Source organism: Homo sapiens, chromosome 3, assembly GCF_000001405.40.
Source record: "Homo sapiens chromosome 3, GRCh38.p14 Primary Assembly".
Classification (NCBI taxonomy): domain Eukaryota; kingdom Metazoa; phylum Chordata; class Mammalia; order Primates; family Hominidae; genus Homo; species Homo sapiens.
The window spans coordinates 171,240,364-171,266,839 of NC_000003.12; the positions used below are offsets into that span (position 1 = coordinate 171,240,364).

General features: G+C 39.6%; 1 protein-coding gene across 8 annotated transcripts in view, besides 3 other annotated features; it reads right to left on the reverse strand.

The window, feature by feature from the left end:
- The window catches only part of TNIK (TRAF2 and NCK interacting kinase), a 401,995-nt gene that overhangs the window by 181,950 nt on the left and 193,569 nt on the right, over positions 1–26,476 (reverse strand). The window lies entirely within an intron of this gene.
- Positions 10,736–10,815: an enhancer, noted in NCBI's record as "active region_20809". NCBI's record gives its function as "activates an Ori minimal core promoter by ATAC-STARR-seq in GM12878 lymphoblastoid cells {active_cell/tissue: GM12878}" and the evidence as "EXISTENCE:reporter gene assay evidence [ECO:0000049][PMID:35858748]".
- Positions 15,425–15,474: an enhancer, noted in NCBI's record as "active region_20810". NCBI's record gives its function as "activates an Ori minimal core promoter by ATAC-STARR-seq in GM12878 lymphoblastoid cells {active_cell/tissue: GM12878}" and the evidence as "EXISTENCE:reporter gene assay evidence [ECO:0000049][PMID:35858748]".
- Positions 16,616–16,665: an enhancer, noted in NCBI's record as "active region_20811". NCBI's record gives its function as "activates an Ori minimal core promoter by ATAC-STARR-seq in GM12878 lymphoblastoid cells {active_cell/tissue: GM12878}" and the evidence as "EXISTENCE:reporter gene assay evidence [ECO:0000049][PMID:35858748]".

Below are 26,476 nucleotides of genomic sequence, written 5' to 3' on the forward strand. Positions count from 1 at the left end.
GGACTAATTAGTGGGTCTAGAGTTAGAACCTCTAACTGTGTAGAACAGATACAAAACAATTAGCTCACTAGGTTGCAGTAAGGATTAAATTACATGTGTAGATACACTTGGTAGAGTGGCTGGGTAAATGGTGTTATCACAGTGCTTTTAGTGTGATTGAGGTTCCATTTCTGTTCTCTTCTCCTACTATTCCCCCCCAGTCCCCGACTCGCCCACATTGCAGGTCTAGTTTCCTTCTCCCTTTCCTCCAATGTACCATGGGGACTTTACATGTCTCTTCCTTCTGCCACACTTGAATGCTCGCTGCCTTCAGGTCTTGACTTGAATGGGTCAAAGAGTCTCAAATGACTCTTCTCCAATAGTCTTTTTCTGGCTGCTATATCTAAAACTTCAACTCCACTTTAACTCTTATTATCCTCCTTCCCTGCTTTACAGATCATCTAACAAACTATACAGTTTATTTATTTATCATGAGTATCGGGCATTTCCTGCTCTAGGAGGGAAATGTCTTGAGGGCAGCGGCTTCTCTTTGTCTTGTTCACTATTCTGTCTTCAGTAGCAGATCAGTGCCCGCATGGTGGGTACTCAATCAATATGTGCTGTATGAATGAATTCCTAACCTCTTTGTGGAAACACTTTTCCAAGTCCTTCTGTTTCTTTTTTTTTCTTTTCTTTTTTTTTTTGGAGATAGAGTTCTGCTCTTGTTGCCCAGTTTGGAGTGCAACGGCACGATCTTGGCTCACCGCAACCTCCACCTCCCAGTTTCAAGAGATTCTCCTGCCTCAGCCTCCCGAGTAGCTGGGATTACAGGTGCGCACCACCACACCCAGTTAATTTTGTACTTTTAGTAGAGACAGGGTTTCTTCATGTTAGTCAGGCTGGTCTCAAACTCCCGACCTCAGGTGATCCAACTGCCTCAGCCTCCCAAAGTGCTGGGATTACAGCACTTCTGTTCTCTTTTTAAAAATTCATAGCACTTCTTACTTGAAGGCATAACAACTCTGATAGAACAAGTACTGTTATCAGACTTTAAAACTGAGGCTCAAAAAACCCAAGATTTTTCCAGGTTGTATTTTCCTTTCATATTGGCCTTGCATATAAGTCAAGCAAACAATAAGATATTGTCTCTCTCTTTTAAAATTCTATTTAAATTCTCTCTAAAGAATAAAGAACAGAAGTGTAAATTAAAATGCCTGATAATCAGAATATATTTTCCACCTAGGAAGATTTATTTCTGTAAATATATATGCTTTATTTAAATATTAGCAATATAAAGTATAGAAGCAGAGGTAACTGCATCTCTAAGATATATTTCTGCTAGCAGCAGCCAACAGATCTACCTTACAGGTAGCAGTTAAGAATGAGGCTGTGCTATTCACAATAGCAAAGACTTGGAACCAACCCAAATGTCCATCGATGATAGACTGGATTAAGAAAATGTGGCACATATACACCATGGAATACTATGCAGCCATAAAAAAGGATGAGTTCAAGTCCTTTGTAGGGACATGGATGAAGCTGGAAACCATCATTCTCAGCAAGCTATTGCAAGGACAAAAAACCAAACACCACATGTTCTCACTCAGGTGGGAATTGAACAATGAGAACACTTGGACACAGGAAGGGGAACATCACACACCGGGGCCTGTTGTGGGGTGGGGGGAAGGGGGAGGGATAGCATTAGGAGATACACCTAATGTAAATGACAAGTTAATGGGTGCAGCACACCAACATGGCACATGTATATATATGTAACAAACCTGTATGTTGTGCATTTGTACCCTAGAACTTAAATTAAAAAAAAAAAAAAGAATGAGGCTGTGCTTTTTGAACCAAAGAGAACATTTGATCCTCTTTCCCTGACATAAATATGGAAAGACGGAAAATTTGCCTAAACTGTTAAGACCTCAGTCAGCTAAGGACACCTGCACAAAACACGAAAATTGCCTTCCTTCCTCCTCTTCCTCATTTTCAATTGTGAAATAGGTGTAGGCATATGGTCAAAGACTCATAAGCAGGATCTCTTCTAACAGCACCTGATCTGAAAATATCAAGTCTAATTTCAACCTAGTTGCCAGTATCTGATTTCAATCACATTGGTTGGGTCTTAGGTACTTGCCTAGGATCCAAAAGATCAGTATCAATCTGCATTTTTTTTTTTTTATCATTTAACTCAGCAGTCTTGTGTTTGCAACATTAATGGTTTATTTCACTGGTGGCTTCTGTCTGCATGAGGGACATTAAGAAAATAAAATTGGCGCTCATATAAGCAAAATAACTGAATTGCTGGATTTAGTCATTAAAATATACCTCATGATATCCCAGGAACTCTTAACCAGAAAATCTGTCTTAGATTTAATAAACCACTGATGGTAATTTAATGCCAATAATAACACAATATTTATTAACCACTGATGAGCATTCAACGGTTCATGGGCTTGAGTACTGAAAAATATGTAGCAATTATACATATGATGCTTTAAAAGATTGAATTATACTTCTTAAACATGTTATTTCTGTTTTTACATTTTTAAACATAAAAAAATCTTTTTGAGAAGAATACATTTTAGGAAACAAATTCAGAACCCATAAAAAAATCTTTGGAAATAATAAATGCAGTGGAGCTAAAGGAGTAAAAATACATAAGTTCTATTTAGAATTTGATCAGTTTTCAATTTTTCAATAAGGCTCTAGGCAAATCTTTTTAGCTCTCATGGTTTTCATGAAGAAGAGAAATAGAAATACTTGTTATGCCTGTTTTCCCTTCCAGAACTGAAATGCAAACAGGAGTGTCCGGATAAGGTGAGTTCTTTCGAACTCCACTTTCAGTGGAGTTGTCTAACCTTGACAACTCCTGCCCAGGGATTCACAACATATCATAAATACATACACTATTACACTATTAAGGAAAAGGGCAGCCAATAAAAATTTCCTGAAAGGGCATCATTTCTGTAAGTTGAAATGGATTTCAGTGCCCTTTGATATGTGGTCAAGTTTTTACAAAGAAAGGTCTTATGAAGAAAATCTAATTTCACATAAAATGAACATAATATTTATAGTAAATTAAAAAAAAAAAACACCTTCTTATCCAACTCACAAGCCACATTGTTACACAACTCCAAAAAGCACCCTTCCCATTGTTTTCTATAAAAGTGGCATCTTCTGGGGTTGAACCTGTTGGTAGCCCTGTTAATTAAAAGTTAAATTCATAGACTCCTTACTGAGCAGCTATTATATATAAAGCACTGTCTTCATTTCTGAGGGACCTGAGTCTTAAGTCGATTTTATTATTAAATTATTTACATTTCTCACACAACAAATTTAGCTTCATTTTTAATGGATTTTACTCCTAGAGGAAGGTTTATAAAAATATGTATTTTTATTTTTCCCTGTTGGTTCCATTTTCAGAGGCTTTCTCCAAATCAATTATGGCCAAGATCAACTCATGGCATCTTATTTGGGGGAAGACACCACTAAAAGAAAATCTTCAATATATGTGGTTTTAGGAAACATAATAATTAAAGAAAAATCGTGAGAAAAGAAATCCACCGTTATTAACTCATTGAGAAAGAACCATCGATGTTAGATCCAGAGTATTCTTCCTTAATTTACTTTGTAAGGTCCTTCGAGAAAAAGCTCAAGTGCAGAAAACAATTGAAGAGGACTGCAATTTTGTTTTTTTTAGAGACAGAAATAGTTTTTTTTTTTTTTTTTTAAGACAGAGTCTCGCTCTGTCGCCCGCCGGGGTGGGAATGCAGGCGTGCGATCTCGGCTCACTGCAAGCTCCGCCTCCCGGGTTCACACCACTCTCCTGCCTCAGCCTCCCGAGTAGCTGGGACTACAGGCGCCCGCCACCACGCCCGGCTAATTTTTTGTATTTTTTAGTAGAGACGGGGTTTCACCATGTTAGCCAGGATGGTCTCGATCTTCTGACCTCGTGATCCACCCACCTCGGCCTCCCAAAGTGCTGGGATTACAGGCGTGAGCCACTGCGCCCGGCCAGAAATAAAATTTTAACTTTGTGCTTACTTAGTGCTATACTATTCTCAAGAGAGAACTCGTTTACTCAAAAAAATCAGGATTCTAATACTTCTCAAACATACTCACTTATTCTGGGGGAAAAAACCACTTTTCTCAAAGAGCTTAATAAATGATAGCAAAAAAGGGATTTGCTGCATTCCAATTTATTTTGTACTGGCTAATACATTAGCCAGTACATACTTTTCATCTGGTCACATACTATTTCTACCATGGCTTTAAGTAAATATACTATTAAGAAAACTATCATGTTTTTGAACTCGAAATTTAATCCATCGGCCTCTATGTTACAAAGGTGAGATAGAAATGAACTTCATTATTGTATTTCATTAATTGACACACCCATATTTGATATACTTTATTAGAAAAATCAACTCAATAGTGATAGGATGACAACTTACTGCTTCTCTTTAAATATTATATATTTATTATTAAAATTATTTAAATTTAATAATTTTAATAAGGAGTATATCATAGGGCTTGTCTAGATTTCAACAAAAGGCTTGAAATTACTACAAGATTATGAAAAAGGAGCAATGAAGCTACTGAAAAAGATTTGTATAAACTTCATAACTGCTATTTTGCATTTAACTATACCAATAATGATTCATGAGCAATTTCTTCCTGGATGCCAATACTCTTAGAAACCCTCAAGAAATACAGTATTAAAGCAAATGATTGGAAAAAAGAAGACTGAATAAAGGATGCAGTAGTTCAGACGTGTTGTACTTCTATCTCCATTGTGTATAAAGGTGCCAGCTGTGTAGGGACTTGGGCTCTATAAAACAAAGACTTTGAAGTTTCATTCTTCAACACTCAACTTAGGTAAGGATGTAATTAAAACAAATTCCACCACCTAAATCAAAGTTAGAGAATTTAGAGAATGCTTTGAGCATGATCTGAAATGATTTGATAAACAGCACAATTGGGTAAAACTGTCAAGACATTCATAGCTTCAGGAATGGGCTGATAAAAAAACATGTAATAACATACAAATACATGAATGTCACCAGAACAGCTGATCACCTTATCATACTAAAAATAAAAGAAACAACATTTAAACCATAAATTTTTAAATTTTATTATAAAGTAGATTTGTGAAGGTGATTAAAGGGCCAGAGTTACCCAGGAAGGTTGGGACATCTTTTTAAGATACTTTAACAATAAAAAAAAAAAAAAATAGATCCTCAAGATTTTGGTATAATCAAGGTGTTACCATTATCAAATGGAAGAGGGGAAGAATAGATTGATTTTAAAAATCTGTGTACTAATTTTTACAGTTTACATATTTCTTTTCTATAGATCATCTCATTTGCTTCTGGTAACTTTCCTTTGTCCAAGAATTTACTCACTACTGAATGCCTCAAATGCAGGTCTGAATAAAATGCTATTTCTTGCCCTCATGGAACTTATAATCATGACTTTCTTTTGTTATACATTTTCGGTATTATGACTATTTTGATTTAAGTAAATCAACATCAAATCCTATTGGAAATAAGAGAGAGAGAAAGAGAGAGAAACAGACAGACAGACAGACAGACTTGGGGGAGGGGAGCAGATGAAGAACGGAAGTAGATGCTTGTGTAGGGCAGCCTTGAAAACACACAGGAAGGAAAGCAAAGAAGGCCTGGAGGGTGCAGCTTCAGATAGAGGGAAAGGAGCTATGTGTGAGTGAGGGAGGAAGACGAGTGTGCTGCAGGAGAGGGTGAGAAAGGTTGGATTGTTCTGCCTTATTCCCTGAGCCTAATTTGCTTAGATAGAATCCCAAAGCCATTCTCAAGTCAAAGAAAAAGATACACCTTTGAGACAACAGTGGAAACTAAGATGGCTCCACAACCATGAGTAATAAATTAGATCCCACTGACACTTGGGTAGAGAACCAGATAAAAAAAAAAAAATGCCTTTCTATTCATACTTCAAAACAAAACAGATTCTAATCACCTCAGCAAAAATAGGAGGGCTGGAAATAATAGATAGTCTGTAAGATTTGTAGCTGGTAAATGAAAAATTATTATTAATAGCTAATATCTACTATGTCAGGTTCTGTTATAAGCATTTTACACACATTAACTCATCACAGCCCATTATGCTGTTACCCTCATTTTACAGATAAGGAAACGCACAAAGAAGTTAGATGACTTGTTGAAAGTATCTATTATTTAACATAGGCAGCATCTCATTTGACTTCTGCATTTTCTTTATTGCTTCCTTTTAGCAAACAAAAAAAATATTTCTAAGAGCTTTCATTAGATTGAAAATATTTTCAGAGTTCACTTACAATCTTAGTCTTTCTAGCACTAGTTTTTCCCTCAAGATCTTGAGTTTTCAGCTATTATTTCTCAAAATGGAGTTTTCAGAAGGCAGGCGGTGACTTCAGTCTAGGACATACAAGGTTTGCAGGAGGCTGGCCGCTTGAGAAGTTGATATTATGATGCGCAGATGGCCAAAAGTTCCACAGAGCAACCAACTCAGACTGGGCTGAACAGAAATGGTAGCAAAAGTAGGACTTTAATTCAGTCCTAAAAGATCAGAAGAATAAGACTGGGGGGAAGACAAGGAAGGACATTTCAAGCAACAAGTAAAGGCACTGGCCAATGTATGAGGAAGGGCTTAAGTCTGTGTATGGCTATGACATCACATGTGTGTAGAAAATAGCAGGATATGCAATTGGAGAAGACAAAGTCCCAATGAAGAACAGCTTCCTGTGTCACGTAAGGAGTACGATGTTAAAGAGTTTACACTTGGGAGTTACAAGATCAGACTGGATTCCAGAAAGGTCACCCTGTCACCATCTTCCCCACTCCTTGCCCACCTTCCTACCCGCTACCACTCAGATCCAGGATTGCAGTTCATCTGTCCTCTACCAAGATTTGGAGATGATTAATCCAGTCAGGATCTGAAACAAAGGCTGGCAGTGAAAAGAGAATAGATCCAAAGAATAAATAAGTAGAATCAACAGGACATGTAGATGGTGTTTTGGAGAATTGAAAGAGAAACAGAAGTCCTCCAGGAAGATAACATCTCTGGCTTGTACAATCTAGGTGGGTAAGAGTGCCATTCTTTGAGACAGAAGACTCGGGAAAACATGAAGAAGGCAGGAAGTGACTTCAGTCAAGGACATAACAAGGTTTTCGGGGGCCGGGTAGACATCCAGACAGATGTGTCCATTAGTCCAGTGGAGAAGACTGGGCTTCAGGAGGTCAAGTCAGTCTACAGAGACAGAAGGACTTGCAATGAACCCCAAGAAAAAACAACCAGCGGGTGGGAAAAAAGAAAGCAGCAATATGACTGCAAATCAAGGAAAGAGAAAGTTTCAGGAAGGAGGATGTGATGAGTTTCAAAAAGGAGGGTATGGTCAGAGCCAGTGCTACAGAAGACCAAGTGAAATAAAGACTAAAAAGAGCTCATTCAATCTGGCAATTATGAAGCCCCTGGGACCTTACACAGCAATGCAGGGACAGACATCAGTTTGTATAGAGTGAAGGAAAAAATGGGAGGTGACTATGTGGAGGCAAAGAGGGTAGAAAAAAGTTGCTTGGTCTGAAAAGAGATGAAACTAGTCCTGAGGTCTCGCTGAAGATGACTGCAGGCTGGGAGGAAAGGGGCAATTCTGGGCAAGGGAGGAGACAACAGAAACAGCAGGAGGAGTCCTCTCACACAGAGGGAAAAGCTTTACATTGAGTTAGGATGAAAGAAGGTAAGAATGTGGGAAGAAGATGAGTTTGAGAAGAAAGGCAGAGGGAGACCTGTGGGATATTTACCCAATAAGGGATACCTGTCCAATGGCTCCAGTTTTTCTAAAAGGCATAGAAGAAGGTCACCTGTGGAGAACAATGAAGGCAGGGGCAGCGGAAGGGAGGAGAGGAGAGTGGTGGAGATTGGGAGCAACTATTCCAGGGAAAACAGGAGAAGGAACTGAGCAGGTACATACACAGTTGATTATTAAGCAGTGCTGAGTTGAGCTGTGCAGCCCAAATGCAGAAAAATAAACAGCTAGACTGACCTTAGGGAAGGGGTCTGCAAGGTGGATATTATGGAAGAACAAAGGATAAAGGAGATAGTACATGTTGGCTAAAAATGATTAAACTAAGAAATCATGAGGCCCAAGGCTGGAGAGACAAGTTATTAAAGTTTCATGGGGACTGAGAGACTGACAAAAGACCCGAGGGCTTAGTCAACATCAAAGAACAGGTGTGTAGGGTGTGAGGGAGTACAGGCTGGAAGCATCAAAGGCTGTGGTCTAAGATTGGGATGCTGTACATTTAAGATTTTAAAAGCAAAACAGACCTGGGTCATAAAAAGTCCAGGTTGTGAATAATAAGAGTGGGGTGTCATTCCAGGTAATAGCAATATAACTATAGTATCAATATTATACCATTTTACAAGTGAGACAAGGACTAGATGACTTATTCAACATCACAGCTGGTTAATGGCAAGGCTAAAGTTTCAATCCAAGTCTTTGCTGCCAAGTCTTATTGACCTTGTCATACAAAATCATTTTACTTGGTACCTTTTTCTTTCAGCCTTTGAATAAGAAATAATAAAATGGTGATTTTGCTTTCAGACTAGGACGACGTTATAAATGAAAGAAAGCTATCAATCTGACTTAAAATGCAAGTGAAAGTAACGGTTTTATTTTCAGAACTCTGGTTATTACCCATAGTGTAGGAGCTTATGAAATTCTGTTAAAGTGTATCTTTGCATACTGTTTTCTTATTATAGAAACATTAAAAGTAACTAGCTATTGAACATGGCAACAAAAATAGTTAAGAACCACTTTATCTCATAAAACATAAATTTCAGCCTCCAGTGGCATGTCTGCTATTATTTCATAATTCTGGGTCCCACTCCCTATTAAGTCCAAGGCTGTGTCAGGATGATTTAGGAAGATAAAGCAATGTTACACCACATATTTTCAACCCAGGTACCTTTAGGCATACATCCAAATGTGAATATCAGATCTGTACAAATGTAAATGGAGTTGTCATTTTCTTTGATTAAGAATCACTCAGGCTCTCCATCACCATTACTAGACAAGACAGAGTGGCCTGCTGCCAACTTAAGGGGGCTGGAGGGATGGGGCAGTGGTGTGGAAATGGCAAATTAGGGGCCTCCTGCAGTGAGTTACTGCTCACCAGTCCTGGGCAGCCCTTAGGACATTATACATTAAGACACATATTCAAATGGAATGATGGTGGTACACATCAGCATAATTCACCTCAAATAATTCATTACAAAAAGACAAATGAACAAATGTCAAATTTGCTGCCTATGATATTAGCTATTACTGTCTTGTACGATATATATTAAGTGAGGAGCCTGCAGGAAAGCATATACAGTTATTCCATAGCTATTTATTTCATCCACTCTTGAGGCAAGTAGCGTCTTTCCCTGTCAGTTGGAACCAATCCAACCCACCCAACCCAACCTACCTAGACTCCCTAACTGTTCCTAGCTATCCTGGTTTCTTACTGAGCTAGTAACTAATAGTTTGCTTTTACTGTATATCAACTTGTCAGGCTAAGGTTTTACATGATTACTATTTAATCCCCACATTGCCCATGTGAAGTAGGTGCTACTACCACCCCCATTATACTAATGAAGAGAGCAAAGCACAGTCCCAAAGTCAGCCAGCTGGTAAGGCCAAGCTCTTAGCGATGCCTGCATGCTTCTGCCTTTGTTACTCCGCCTTTCAAATTTCACCCAACTTCTGCTCTATAGCTTGATGGCACATGTTCAGGAAGAATTCCCATTTACTTCAGTCCATACTGATTACTCCCTTCTCAGAAGTAGCTCATCCATACCTGGATGGAAGCTTTGCTTTCTGGTAATGCCAGCACCCTCTAATTTTCATGGGACAGGCCTTGGAGAGACTGACCCAGTCTTGTTTGCCTGGGAAAATGGTGTTGATGGATGGACAGCTTCTTTGTGGTAGTGAGATTTGGGTTAAATAGCTCCAGTACCTTAAAAATTCCAAGATGTAACCTAAGCCCTAGTCCCCCAAAATATTCAGAAACAGGGATTCCTAGAAATCTAAATCATGCCCTTTAAAAATTTCGTGTCCAAACCTGATAGACTTAAAAAATTAGAAATGAAGAATATTAGAGACATTCATGTCCACTGATATTAACCCCTTCCATCCTACTTCTCTAAAGCCATGCAGCTAGCTCAGAGAAAAGTAGGAACTCCAACTCCTTCAGCTGTGGGAGGTGGGAACAACACAGGCCCTGTGGTCAGATACCTTCAGTTCTGTCACTCACTGGCTGTGTGACCATGAGGAAATCATTCAGATCTCTTTAGATCTCAGTTTCCACACTAAAATCAGAGAAATGATACTTAAGGCCGTTATAAGAACTAAAATAGCTAATGTGAAAGTTTTGTAAACCATATAGTGCTCTAAAAATGCTACAAACTTCCATTATTATTCTACATTTGGGATTTCTGACTTTCATGACAGAGATTTGTTTTTATCTTGCAATCCTCTGCTGCAACAATTATCAATTGATGGTGTCCCAGACCACTGTCAAAATACAGTGTACATTATTCAAAGACCCCAAATACCAAATGGTCACAAGCCTAGTGTGTTATTATGTCTGAAAGTGTTTGAGTGACCAAAGAATGACTGAAGCTCTCATCTAAACAGCAGAAGGAAAACCAGAATAACCCAACAAAAGGTATCATGTACACACATCAACTACCAGACAGGTTAAAGGTGGGCAACATCCTATGAGAGATGAGACTAAATTAAAGCACATGTTGGAACCTGCCTGTGGTCTGGGAAGAACAGCAGATACAGACAGCAGAGAACAGCAGGAACAGACAACAGAGACCGGGACACAGATATGAGAACTTCCTAAAGAAGGAAGAAGGGATGAGTCCATTAAAAGATGACAATTTAGAATGTCAAGAGTCCTCTGGTGTGTTCTAAAATGAGGCTGGCTACTTGTGTTGTTAGAGGCCTGAGATGATGTCTACATGTTTGGGTAATGATCTTGGATGATATGAACTGATAGCTAGGCCCAGAAGTAAGAAACAGGTACTGCCATAATAGTTATCAACCTTCCTGCCACAGTCTTGGGATGAGTTCCTCTGTCCTGGGCAAGTTGGCTGGGGCTGAAGCACAGAGCAAGGGCCATTGCAAGGTGCTCCTTATTAGGACATTTTTCATCTAACTTAGACCCACAGACTATGTGCACTTAGTTGGGGCCTAATTATCAAGAACCTGTATTCCACACATACACTATTTGATACTTAATATAAATAATGTACCCAATTTTATTTAGCAAAACTAGCAAAACTTGTACTCAAAATGAATGTTGTCTCTAGGCACTAATACCATTGATGTTTAAATCATTCTGAAATTACCTACATCACATCCCTTTGAATATAGAAAAATAATATGGCTCATCTTTGTTAAAAAGTATATTTAATTTTTTACATTTAATATCATTCTAAACGGGTAAGGAAGGTGAAAGATTGAGTTGGATAAAACTGTTAGAAAGTAAATATGATAACAGACCAAAAAGAAATTTTGTGGTTTGTGTATTTCATCACCAAAAGAAAGTAGCTCCCAAATTTATAGGGCAATTGCAACATTTTTGAAGGAAATACGTGCAATTCTCTAAGGTAAATGTTCATTTGCATAGATAAAATCTGGTATGCGTGTGTGTGTGTGTGTGCGTGTGTGTGTGTCATATCTCTTTACTTAACAGCCAAAACAATCTCCTATGTTACCTTCAGCCATTGTTTCCCCTCCCCTATAAATACATCTTCATTGCAAGCAGTTTGTGGGTGAGAAAATGCCTCCATTTTACCTATGTTCACCAGTTAGTTACAACCTGTTGGGCATACAGTAGGTGCTAAATAAATGACTGACTTTTAAGCCTCAAAACTTAACTATAGATAAGTGTTCCGAACACAAGAAGTAGAAAACTCAAGCTATATGGGCAGCCGATGAAAATTAACTGTGCACTTATATAGGCAGATGTAATTAAAAATGAGGGGAGGAGAAGAGAGGAATAAACAAAACCACCCCAAAAACTCATATCGTGTGCACGACATTATATCTGAAAGTGTCATAAATTTCCATTTTATAGCATTAGGAAGCTGCCTTATGTTAATTCAAGGTGGGTAACATGCATATTAAAATATAGCTGTGCTATCTCTGCATTGTTCTCCCAGCTTAGAAGGTAAAATACTGAAGCAAACATGTGGCCTACCAGTGGGAATTAAATTAGAGCGATATTTTACATCATTGCATAGCATTGGTTCTTTGACATTCACAATGTTAACTTTGATATAAGAAATCAGCTAGGTTAGTTTTATCTGTTTATCTGGGAGAAACTTAATCTGGGTTTTGTAAGAAAATCATGGGGTAGTGGAATGGGGAGAGCACTCGGTTCCTGGTGACACCATCTAAATCTTGAAGAACATAAAAATAAACAGCTAGGATTTCACCATGTAAGACAGGAAAAATGGGCACTTCAGAAAATTTAAATGGAGTAGGGGTGTAGAGAAGCATTTCATGTTTTAGAATGCATAGTTTTTTGGGGCCGAAGGAAACCACTCTTAGTCAACTTTAAGAAATAACTAGGGCCGGGCACAGTGGCTCGTGCCTGTAATTCCAGCCCTTTGGGAGGCCGAGGCGAGTGGATCACGAGGTCAGGAGTTCGAGACCATCCTGGCCAACACGGTGAAACCTCGTCTTTACTAAAGGTACCAAAAAAAAAAAAATTAGCCGGGCGTGGTGGCAGGTGCCTATAGTCCCAGCTGCTTGGGAGGTTGAGGCAGGAGAATGGCGTGAACCCAGGAGGCGGAACTTGCAGTGAGCCGAGATCACACCACTGCACTCCAGCCTGGGCAACAAAGCAAGACTGTCTCAAAAAAAAAAAAAAGAAATAACTAAAGTATCTGGGAATATTAAACCATGACTTCAAAGCTGTCCCTCTTGCAGCCTCAGTGAGGTGCGAAAGGTCTCTGATTTCAGGCACCCCTCACTCTGGCTTAATTCTTTCACTCTCACATATGGTTGTCTGATAAATCCAGCTAAAAGCAAAACCTGTGATGAGGTCTCAACTTGCTCCTCTGCCTCCCAACCCTCCCTTTAAGCTTGTGACCAAATTGCTGAATTCACCTCCTTTCTCATAGATCTGCCTGAAAAAAAAAAGAAAAGAAATCAGAAGACAGGTCCCCCCCCCACCCCACCCCCAGTTATCTCAAATGTCACGGCTAGGAAGTTTAGGCTGCATGGACCATCAAGACCCTACAATAAATTGAAGTAACAAACATATTACCTTCTCCCGAATCCTCTCTGAACAGATCACCGTTTCTCTACCCTCCCCAAGGGAAACTCTGATCAAACAAATCTAGCCACTCTTTCCCTTAAAGAGCAAAACTCACAAAATTAAGTTAAAAATTCATTCTTGAAGGTTGGAAAACAGCAGGAAATGTCTTTATTCTACATATTAAAACTTCCAGAGAAATCAATAAAACAAAGAATGTAACTAGCTGTCCTTCAAGAGTTTAAATAAAAACACACAACTAGCAAAATTATGAAGTGTGTCTTTCAGGATCCATTTTTCTGGACATGACTCAGACAACCAGCCATTTAAAGCCCTCTTTACATTTAGTGTTTTTAATATCTGCTCTTAAATTCTTAATTCATCCCAAAGTGCAAATGATTAATATTAAATTTCCTTTTTTCTTAAGAATGTTTATTTTAGCAAGAAAATAGTAACTTCCAGTACTTGTGGAACAACAGAACAAAGACCTTCCATACCTCATTTATATTGATCTTAATGTAGCGTGTCTATTACTAAAGACATTTTACAGAATAAAACCCCAAATAGTCTTAAAAAGATAATTTGATTTTCTTAAGGACCATTCTCCAAATTCTTCGGACCCCAAAGACCACACCACACTCTTCCTCTATCAGGCTGCTACAAGATGAAGGAATGATCAACTAATTTACAGAATTTTAGGCTTTACCTAGAGCAGTGGAGAATGCAGTTTTTAGAGTTTTAATATTTGCTCACCCTTCCCCATATAAAGCAGAGTCTCAAATATAAACCCAGATTTCCTGCCTGCAACTGTAAATTCAGTTTCTGGATATACATCACCAAGATAAACTGTTAGATACAAGCATCACCCAGATGTTTTGTAGTATTCATATTAATAATCCTATAAGCCTCTCTTTGGGGCAGAAAACAATGATCATTACTGATCCAATTTCCATTACTGGATGAAGACTCCCAACTACTAATACAGATACATGTGTCTATCCCTCCCTTTACAGCTAACATATAAGGGCTAAATGGAAATCCTAGTAGTACAGCATTTATCTATCATTTTGCAATAATCTGTGGGCAGATAACACAATAGCGACTCGTTCCTTTAATTCAATTTCATAATCAGAAGTGATATGCAAAATATAAGTACAGAAAAGCTATTTTCAGAAAATATGATCTGATTTTTCACAGTTTTTGAATAAGCAAGATAAACGTTATAATTTGGAGTATGGTAATGGCTTTGGGAATTGTGTTCTGAGAAGTAAAATAAAAAGGGATTTAGCATGTAGATTAATCATATGGCTTTTCCAAAGATTCAAAATTTTGAGAAAGCCATTTTTAACATATCTGAAAATCACTTAGAATTTTCAGTGCCATCCTAGCCTCTTCCTCTAATTTTGGTTCATAACCACATCTTATTTTGCTGGATTGCAATGGACTTTGAGGTTGCAATATGTTTTATCTGATGCTGATTCAATTTAGACAATAAAGGATTGAAGTTCTTGAAAGAAACATCTGGCCAACAAAACCTGATATGAGCAGAGAAACTATTAATCATTACTTTAGGTTATGGAAAATCCCACATTCAAATGAACCAAAAAGATTCTTGAAAATCTATCCCTCTACTCCCCATGAGGAAACAGTAGATTTTTCTAAAGCTCCCTGGGTGACAAATGCTGTCTGGTTACAACCATCTTAGCTAGAGCTAAGATGGTTTCAGAATCAAACTACAAATCATTTTGAAAGTTTCCTGTTTTGCAAACTCCGGATATAAGCTAAAGCGATTTTTCTATTCACTACCTAGACATCACCTGCTCATCAACAGATTTTAAAGCATCTTGCAGAGGCAAATTTCCAAAAAAGGTAGCCTAAGTACTTATCCACTATACCACCTCTTCAAAAGCAGCAGAGAATAAATACAAAGTTGTCTGATTAGTCAGTAAACAAAATGAATTCAAGCTGAGGTGCCTGAACACGGGCAAAGGAATGTTTTGTGCCACAGGCCCAAAAGAACAAAGCTCATTTTGTTGCACATTATCAGGTGTCATGGTTCATATCCTGGAGTGCCTTTAGAGACCCCAGGTGTGGCTGCTGCTCAGTGTTTCAGAAACATTCTTCTGTTTGGAAGGACATTGAAGAGCCGTAAATGCCACAACAGTTTCTCTACTTTCTAGGCCCTCTATGGTTTTGAAATTCATCCCATCTCCTTGGATTTATATTGATTGTGGGTATGGCTTAGTGGTGATGGGGGAAGGGGTCTAGTTCTCCAGGAGGAACTCAAAGGAAGGCAGTTGTATAGAACCACAGAAACATATAGAATTATAGAATAAAGTATTCTGAGCAGCTAATAAGACGACCATTTACTACTTTGCCACACAGAGGGAAAAGAAGGAAAACAGCTCCCAACAAGGAAAAAAAAAATAAGTACCCAATGGTCCTCTTCCCTCTTTTGAGCATGGCTGTTGTTTCGGGGTTTTTCCAAGCCTTGTTTTTTTTCATCAATTATTTTCTTTGATGCCTACTTCACTATGCATGGGAACAGAAAGCAAACTATTAGAAATTTTCACACTGCCAGAAGTTCAACAAATGAGTCTACAATTCCCAAGGCCCAGGGCCTAGAGAAATACCAGCTGAAATTAAAATAAGGAGAAAGAGAATCGATAAAGAGGTTAATTAGCTTATGTGGTACAGTCGAGGGAGGCAGAGCATTTTGCTGGGAAATAGCCAGGATGTCCCAATGGGGAGATGCAATCTTCTTAACCAAACGAGATGCCTGGGGAACTCTTTTCTCCAATACTTCATGAACACTAAAAAACAAAGCCACAGATACAAAGGACAGAGTGCTGGCCATGAAGAATCATGGGGAGCTACTTCATAAACACTTTAGGAAATACTGTTTTGCCCTCCAGCCAATTTCCTCTAAGCTTCAAGGTCAGAAAGAACTTTACAAAGGGTGACTAGCTGAGGAGTCATCCAATTTACTTCCTACTGACCCAAAAGAGAAGCCATTTATTACCACTGGCAGGAATGGATGAATTCTGACCATCCCCATTCTGACTTGGGAGTTTCTTTTTGACTGCAGTAGGGTATTTGAGTTTGAGGCCAGGGATCAAAATAAACTGAATGCTCACTCAGGACAGAAGAGTAACACTGGCCCCCCATGAAGAGAGTCCTCTGCACTTCCCCAGGGGTGAGTGTGTGACTGTATATTTTCAGTTTGGTATAAAAACATCAGGAGCAGAATAACTCACCTGCTGAGAGACAGGTCTACTTCCCTAGGTCTGAACATCCTTTCCATCTTTCTTTAAACTTAAAAAGCACCTATTAAGAACTGTTTACTCTGGTTTTAAAGTGGAACTGACATGACAAGCGGCTGCACAGAAACAGGCCGAGAGAGGAACAATGAAGTCATGAAGGAGGCAGCCCTGGGCCCATTTCATCTCAAAAGAAGACTGCTCACCACTGTATGCTACTCTGCCAAGGTCCTAGAGACTTAGAAGAAGCAAGGAACCATGCTGTAGAACCAGGGCAGGCGGTACTCTAGAACTGGGAATTCATTTTCCACAGGCTTAATGTAAAAAGAGGTTTAAATGATTCCATGTAACTGGCCATCATGGCAGCATGCAAATTTACTTAGCATTACAGGAGTCCAAATTTCAGCTCTAACCCTACCAGACATGTGACCCTGACACTTTAACCACTCTCAGCTTCAGTCACCTCATCTGAGAATAACATCTCCCCATCTCAGATAGGAACTGGGACAGAGTCTTTGTGAAATACAAAGCAGATGTTCATGACATAATAACTATTGCTGTTGCTGTAGACCTTGTTTGATAGTATTTATGCTCATCACAGCACTCTGTCCTTGTGATCTGGCTTCTCAGAATGGAAAACAACATTCTAACGTCAATAAAAGCATGAAGAACATGTCAGGTACTTGAGAACCCATGCCACTTTCAAAGCCTAGCTGGGGTTCCCACCAGCAACAAAGAGCCAAAAGCACTGTCCGCCAAGATCCCCTTCTCTTGGGACATCAACACCCCATTCATCTTTGCCATAAACTAAGCCACACTTGATGTGACTTTCTGGAGAGCAGGCTACTTTTTCATCCCAGCTCAGATTCTGATGGCATTACACTGCCCGTGGGGATGGAATTCCACACATGCGGACAGAGACACAGCTTCTCAAAATCCCTCAATATCAAACTGCTGTTGAGATTCTGATTTCATTGCTGATGAATCTCATTCCTGAGGTACAAGTCACAGAGCCTTTTATGGTTCCTGCATTTGGAGATTGTCCCTAGCCACTACAGACAAACACATCATCTTGTGCTTAGAGACTGGTGCTTTTGTCCCTCATCTTCATTTTTCCACCACAGTGATGATGGATGCCCTGCGATCTCATGAAGAATAATGACAGCAAAATGAAAAGCGTATGTGTCATCTCTGGGAAGACACGTGGGCAGTAAAATATAGCTGTACCAAGGCTTTGTGGCCATAACTCCTAATATCTCTGTGCAATTGGAAATGATTTTTAAAAACCTTTATGATTAATATTTTATCTAGAACTCCTACCACTGTGGAGGAATAGAACAAAGAAAATGCACATCACAAAGGGCCTTCAGCATCAATAAGTAAGAAATCTTTAAAGAGCTACACTATCTCACTAATGATTTCCCTACTGACCTGAATCAACTTTCAGAGAGAAAATGCAAGTAATAAAGGCCTAGGAGATGGGAGGATGACTCATTTGTTTCTTCTTCTAGCTGTTTTCTAATTCCCCTCACCTTTTTCCAATGCCCCATGTCAATCAAAGAAAGGAATGCCAACAGGCTCTCCTCACAACTGCCTGTAGCAACTACATAAGGAACCCACGAGACCAGTAAAGAAAAGCCAAGTCCAGACTCCTCTTGGTCAGGGTCAGCCAAGTTTCAACTTAAAATAGATAAAAAGGAAGCTCTTCCAAGTCAGGCCCAATTTAGGACTTCGCTCCATTTCTTCCAGGGACACCATGCCAGGACCTGCCCTCCTTCTGCCCACTCCACCTGGTTCCCATAATTTTTCTTCCTGTTCACTTGACCCTCTAAGAAACTCTGGAAGTGGGGTTTATCCTATTGGTGAAGTATCAGCTAAGACAATTCAATGATGATAATCTCATTATAATCCCAGTAACCAATTTAATTAATTTACTCCTTGGACTGCTCAGAAGTTCAGTCTCTCTCATGTACACACATAAAATAATCAGACACATGTGCGCGCACACACACGCAAACACGCCACTGAAATTTGACTTCTCCTTACAAATATTCATGGGTCTATCAACCTTGTAGTGTGCTGTAATAATCTACATTTTGTGATTTTCCTGTGCACAGCTTACATCCCACAAAGTCAAGGACAGTGTGTTTTATATAAGAGAGAGAGAGAGCATGCACACGAGAGAGAGAGAGTGTATGTGTGTGTGTATATGGCACATAGTGTGTACTTTATAAATGTTGGGGGAATAAATCTCAAACCTGGACTTTACATTCAGGCAGAGTGTTGACAAAAAGTTGGAAGGACAGACCTAATATTTAAACATAACCTTTAACCAGAAGGCAGCCACATGAATCTTTCAAGAGTCGCCATTAGGAACGCACCCACGGCTGATGGGATAAGACTCAGGTTTTAGGGTTAAGTAAGAGTCAGCAGTTGTCTATTGGCAATTGATAACTATTCCTGAACACTCTGCCTGGTGGCCTAGAAGCTGACCCCTCACAGGAGTCCAGTCAGGACCACTGAAGATATGAGGAGCCTCTAACACTAAGCCCTTGAACAAAGAAGGTGGAAAGGATTCCAGTGCCTTACATTTTGCTTCACCCTCACGTTGGAAAGACCTTAACACTCACAAATGGAAAGAAATAACCCAATAGATTACTATACAAAAAGAGGGAGGAGAAAACAAATTGCCTGGCTAATCTCATGGCCAACGGTAAAGAATTAATAGAAATTAAGGCAAAAAACTGGAAAGTGGTATCCACAACTGAAAAGCACAACCTCTTAATAAGCCAGGCACCCTTTATAATATCATGGAATCATAATTCTGAACTCTGTCATTGTCTGTTTCATTGTCCTTGTCTGTCCCTCACCCAGTGCTCTTCAAGAGATCCATTACATCCCTCTTCTTGCCCTCATTTACTAAAGCCCTCAAGGTATTAATCTGTAGTGCAGAGCTTGGCTGTTGCGTGCCATATAAGAGGATGTGACAATCCTTTGCTTGTCCAACCTTTAGTTAGCCTTCTGAATCTCCTCCTAGGCCCATCTATGCACTTCCTTGTAAAATCCAGTTTTAGCAAAAGAACCCTGCTAAGTCAGTTTAGCTAGAACCACCTATCCTCAATAGCTGATAATCCCTGTTATCTGATTATGTTCCTCATCCTCCACCATGCCCCAGGTGATGTCTGATCACCCGGGCTTGTTTTCAGCAAGAGTCCTGTTAGGTTGCTTAGCCAGAATCCCCCTTAATCCTGAAGTTTCCTCTTAGTAGGTTTCCACCTGCTAACCCCCACACAGCACCTAGGCTATAAATTCCCACTTGCTCAAGCTGTATTCAAAATTGAGGCCATTATTTCTCTCCCGCTGCAAGATGCTATTGCAATGGTTCCTGTGCCTCTCCCAATGACCTTGAATAAAGTCTGCCTTACTGTGCTTTTCCCAGTGTCACTGAATAACTTTTTTCCCTAACAGATGAAAACCTGGGGAAATGGCATCCCTTCCCATCCCCACCTCCTCCCCAAGAGACACACACATTTTAATGAAAGCATTAATTTCCAAGAGGGGAAGGATGTGTTGATTTGGCCGGGGTGGATGGAGAGAGTGACTAGGGTACAGAGGCTCCCATAATTAATAGCATCTTTGTACTATGAGTTCTGTGGAGCTAAATTGACATGCTCTTGAGAAAACAAGGGGTTTGAGCTCAGCTCACAATGGTGGCTGCACCATCTGGTTTCCAATGAGTTGTTTTTAGCTAAATTTTCAGTTAGGCTCATTAAAACCTAAGACACTTCAGTGTTTAGTTTAAACAAATGGGCTCACACAGCCCATTTTAAAAACTCAATAGAACCTTCCTTTCCTTTAATGGCTAAAATGCTTTACAAAATTCCTTGGGGTCAAATAGGATGTTTTTCCAAAGCTAGTTGTTTAAAGCTATTCCTAAGTAACTTCTCACAAGATAACGAGGGTTATTACCGAAATATTGCAAATTTTATTTTCAAATATTTTCCTAAAGTTTCTCTTATATAAAGGTTTATCTTACATTAGGTATTTTAATAAAAACCTATCACCACTAGCAACAGATTACTTAAAAGCTTATGAGTCACATTTCAAAGAGATTTTGTCGGCTCTCCTTTCTTCCTCTATCAAAAGCCTACTGTGTGGAAGGATTGAGGTCCTCTGCCTGGTCTCCAGCCTCAGCTTTGGTGCCATGCCTCTCCTCCCACCTTCACCCATACAAGGCTACTCTCTTGCCCTTTGTGGCTATAGCATTTCTCCCACCCTTCTATACTATGCCACATCTTTACACCTTTGCTCATGCTGATTGCCTTCCCTTTTTTTGCTTAGTAAACAGACATACATATTTTATGATCCAGCCCAAGCATTACTTTCTGTGTTCAAGTCTTCTTGATATTTCTCCCCAAGCAAAATCGATTGCTTCCTCTTCTCCTTATACATAATTTTAGTCACAACTTCCCACTTACTTATTTGCATGCCTGTCTTCCCTACTAAATGTCAATCTACTTTCAAACAAGAACCCCAGCAGGAATGATAATTCCTGGTAAGTAATCAAGAAATGTTTGTTGGTTGGATGGATGGATGATGGATGGATGGATAAATGAATATCATTTTTGATAAAATCAAGGCAAACAGCCATGTCATAATTCCGAGTGTAAAGAAATCTATTTTAATTTCCTGTCTTCCTGTACAGAGTATGACTTCCTTGTATAAATATGACTCATTCATTCAACAACTGAGCACCCAATCCTATGGGTCATTGCTTCAGGTGGTGTGGCTACAGCAATGGGCGAGGCACCCTCTTCTAATGAAGTTTGAACAAATAAATAAACAAATGCAGACCATTTCAGATAATGATGTGTGTTATTCAGAGAATCAAACAGGAGAGAAAACACAAGGGCTGGATGGTTTGCCGGGAGGAGACACAAAACTTTGGTTTGGGTAGAAAAATCCTCTGTGAAGAGGTGACATTTGAGCTGTTTCCTGGATAACAAGACGCCAGGTTTTATGAACAACTAGGATCAAATATGAATACTATTATTTATAACCTTTTCAATCCTAACCCAGCAGCGGGGTCAGTGGTTAGCCACTCTGGGGGTCACTGGGAGCAAGATAGTGACAGTGGCCTCACTCTGCTCACCTCTCCAAGGGAGTTTTCACAACTGTGCTGATGAACCATGCTAGAGTGAGGGCAGACTGACCTAGACCTAGAGGCTTACCTTCCCTTCGTTTTGTTTAGAAAAACTGTCTGCTCAGTTTGATTTCACTGACCTTTTTAATAAAACAACCAGATTTAGTGTTTGCCTGTCCTCATGTACCCCTCCCATCACATCACACCCCACCCCACCCCACTCCACCTCCTCTGTGATATCAGCCTGAATGTCATTCTTCATCACTTTCATCTGAAAGTGATTAGATTGACAGAAAGAACAAAAGCTGGTGTTTCACATCTCAATTTGTCTTGTCCCCCAGAGTCCATAAATCAAACAAAAATTCTACACAGCTCCTTAAAATACTCTGAAAGATAAAAGATCAATGTCTGGAAGCAACTTCTTTCAGGCATTCAGAACAGAAGCAACAAGTGAGAAATAAAGCTGCCCATTCCTAATCTTGGAGTAGTTTTTCCTGGCTTCTCAAGAGGAGTGGCATTTGCAAAGCTCTGTGGTTAAAGCACTGTGGAAAGCAGTTGTATTAATATACTTATGAAGAACTGCAAAAAAATGCCAGTTCGTTTTTTACTAAGCAGTCAGTTGCCTACCAGAAAAAATTCTTCCCTTCTTCCTTGATGAGGGAACCTCAATTTTGTTCTAATATCCATGCCTCAATAAAACCACACTATTTCTGGTTTTTGTTTAAATCCTGGTCTATCCTGATAATCCCAGCCCTCTTGCAAGTGACTGGTTTAAGGGGTGGTTGTGACCTGTATGGGTCAATGAAGTAGGAGGCAAAAATCCATTGGAGGTGTCTGGAAAATTTTCCCTTCTGATGAAACACTCATAGAAAGAGACAGCCCTTTTCATAGTGCTGGACATTATCATGCCTGTATCTGACACATAGAACTTATAAAGCCATATTGACTGTCCAGGTAAGCTAGCCTAAAGAGAAGCTAAAAGCCTTCCAACTGAAAACTGCTGTCATCTTGAAAATTCACCAGGCTATTCCCAGCCTTAAAAACAAGCAAGTTGGGATAAACTTGAAGGTCTATTCCAGCTCAAAAAGTATGGGATTCTCACCAAGGCACCTTTTAGTGCTATTTTAGTTAGTAGAGCCAGTGTTGACATATGTGATGCTACTTGTAAAAAAAACTCTGCCAGGTGACCAGAGACTCATAGGGAGTTTTGTTCATAGGAGGATATGAATTGGGATTTGCATGCCCAAAGGCTTTCAAATTTAACTTTTGGAATAAATCAAGAATCAGAGCAGGTTAAGGAAGGGCATTAGGAGAAATAAGACGTTTACACTGACTGTACCAGACTGCAACTCTGTCAACAGAGAGGAACAATTTTGAGAGAAAAAAAGGAGGGGGTTTTCAAATTTCAATGATGTTGCCTTTTAAAAAATCTCCATTTATTCATTTATCCATTTGACACATTTTTATGGAACACCTACAATTTGGTAGGCAATGTCTATATGCAATGATGTATAAAACATACTTTTCCTTTAGGAATTTTTCCTTTAGGAAAAATTCTTTCCTAAAGGAGTGAATAGTAAGTTCAGTGAAGGTCATAGAAAAGTAAAAATATATTACAGTATTTCTGACAAGAGCCATTATTAGAAGAAAGCCCAAAGGAGTATGGGAGGCCAGCCAGGTAAGGGGTGCTTACCCTAGGATGGAGCAAGTGGTGTAGGAAAGGCTTCCTATGGAAGCAACCCTTAAACTGAGACTTGGAGGAGGTTATGGAGGGCAGGGCGGGCAGAGGCCTGGCACACTGGCAGGAACACAAATGTTTTAATAAGGCTGGAGTACTGGGTGTGAGGCAGGGAGCTGTAAAGCTAGAGAGGTAAAAGCTGGGACCAGGTCACCTGAGGCATGCTACGGAGTTTGTGAGATTTTATTTTATATATGTATGTGTGTGTGTGTGTATATATATGTGTGTGTGTATATATATACATACACACACACACACACACACACACACACACACACACACACACACATATATATATATATATATATACACCCCTTACCTGGCTGGCCTCCCATACTCCTTTGGGCTTTCCTCTAATAATGGCTCTTGTCAGAAATACTGTAATATATTTTCACTTTTCTATGACCCTCACTGAACTTACTATTCACTATTCACTCCTCTAGGAAAAGAATTGTATGTTTTATACATCATTGCATATAGACATTGCGTACCAAATTGTATACACGTATAATACACACACACACACACATATATATATATTTTATTTTCAGACGGAGTTTTGGTCTTGTTGCACAGGCTGGAGTGCAATGGTGCTATCTCGGCTCACCTCAACCTTCGCCTCCTGGGGATCAAGTGATTCTCCTGCCTCAGCCCCCCGAGTAGCTAGGATTACAGGCATGCGCTACCACACCCGACTAATTTTGTATTTTTAGTAGAGATGGGGTTTCTCCATGTTGGTCAGGCTGGTCAGTACTTGGGAGCAGTGTGAAACAGAAGGAAATTTGTCTGCAGGTGCTTTCTAAGGCCCCCATCCCGGGTTCCCTCACACTCTCCAGAAGCTCTCAAATTAGAAATTCTATAAGCTTGCTTCTGCTGTGGAATCAATGAATGTGCACAGCTTAAAGTACAATTTTGTGTTTTAAAGGGGGATAATCTCTTAACACAGAAGAAGGAAGCGATAGCCCTGCAATGGTAAGGGGATCTTGGAGATACATTTAGATGAACTAAGTTTACAGTTAAGGAGACAGAGGCCCAGAAACACTGTGGAATGTTCTCCGAGTTCACCCATGGTATTTCAGACCCCTGCCATGAGAGAGGTAGTGGGTGGCGGGGCTCCCTTCAGAGGCTGCTGTATTAGGCCCAGTAGGCTGCCAACTACTGAGAACAGTCACCCTTTCCTTACGGAACACCTTGACCAGAAGTTCCACGTGGCATGGCATGGCACACAAAATGAGTGCTCATTAGGCATCTACTAGAAGAAGGGAAAATCCTGCTATTTCTCATGCAATTTGAGAATGTGAAAGTGAACCCGGGTACTCCCCAAATGTAGGCACCAGGAAGCAGAATATGGTGCATGAGTGTATTTTCAAAAGAAAAAGCTGGCAAATGACAAAATCCAAGAAAATTGGCACAGCTGCTTGCCATTTGAAGAATCAAAAACTGAAAATATTTCAAATAATAGGAGAAAATCTAGAGGAATTGTGACTTAGGACCAATTTGGATAGGATTTCTAAGCAGACAATGATCATTTTAAAGATGTGTGGATGCTCATTTTCAAAACCTACACTGACTTCTTTTTAGAAGAGCCACAGGCTAGAAGAGCCTTCTCAGTGGAACTGGATTCTTTTGTCTTTAATGACACAACAGGTAGTTACATGAACTGAGTGGTCTCAGACCTGCATTAATTTGGGCAGACAGAGATTTCAAAACTGGTGAAAAACAAAACTGGAAGAAAGCCACTCTTAAAGTGTTTAATTTCTTTGCATTTGCAATTCAAGCAGATGCTACCAACAAAATACATATGCAAGAATGGTTAAAGGTTGCAAGGGAATGGTAATTAAAATTATCTTTGTAAGGTGATTCATTTTGTGAAAGCTACCAGGGATGTGATAAGCCAATATTAATGTAATTAATCAAGGTTACTGGGGAAACAGAGGGAAAGTGGAATCTTAAAAAGAGACTGGACAGTGGTTGAGTCCTAAGGAGGGTTGATCTGAGTCACTAGTGATTGCTTTAAATAAGCATTATTTTTTTTTCCTTTTTAAAATCATGAGAAGGGAAAGAATTATCAAATAAGAATCTGCAGTTGGCTGTTCAGTTATCCCATGGCTCCTGGGGTCCCCAGACATAGCCGGCCAGGCTGTCATGGCACCTCCAATTCAGATACATGACATGGCCCAGCATACTTCCAAATGCAATCTAGAATCAAAAGGTGGCAGATGTAAATGCGGCACGGGCCCAGGAAGCTGTCAGGGTTGAGAGAGGAAAAAAAGGAGGGAAAGAAGAAAAGATGGGGGGAAGATAGGAGGAAAGAGAAGAGAAAAAGGAAGAAAATAGCAGGAAAGGAAAAGTTTCTCTTCCACAGTTGAGATCATTGTTGACAAAGGACTGTGGACTTGAGTTTTAGAAAATGAAACAAAAGTATTGTAAGCTGCTAACATTTCCAGGAATTAAATTGTCATTCACCACCCTTCCCAGGAGGTAACTGCTAAGGAGATAAAGGATTCCAATATTATTTTAAATAAAAAAAGCCTACATTAGGGTCTAATACATAAGAGTGGGAAAACAAAGCAAACACCTTCTGGAGGAATCTTTCCCTCTCAGTTTCCTTTCATCTTTTCTCAAAGTAGAGAGGAATGACTCTTCCTTAGGTTGCCCCCAACCCAGGCTGTCACCTGGGCACACAGAGAATGACTGGGCTCCTCTTTATGCATTTGAAACGCCTACTTAGGGTCTTCAGACCTCATTATGTCACTCTGCTCCACTGCACGTCTGTGAGATTTGCCAAGTTATCTCATTCAACAGAGTTGTGAAATCTGCATGCTTCCATGGGAAAACCTGAGCCTTTGCAGGAATAGAGTACATTTTATACAAAAGGAACCAAGCAGAAATTTGGTAAAACAATCTGAAAAAATTATAGAGTGCCTTGAAAACACTTCCTTCCTCTGGCCTTTCTTGAGAAACCAGAAGTCAGTGTCTTCCAAGTTTAAAAAATCAGTCCAGCTTAAGTTAAACC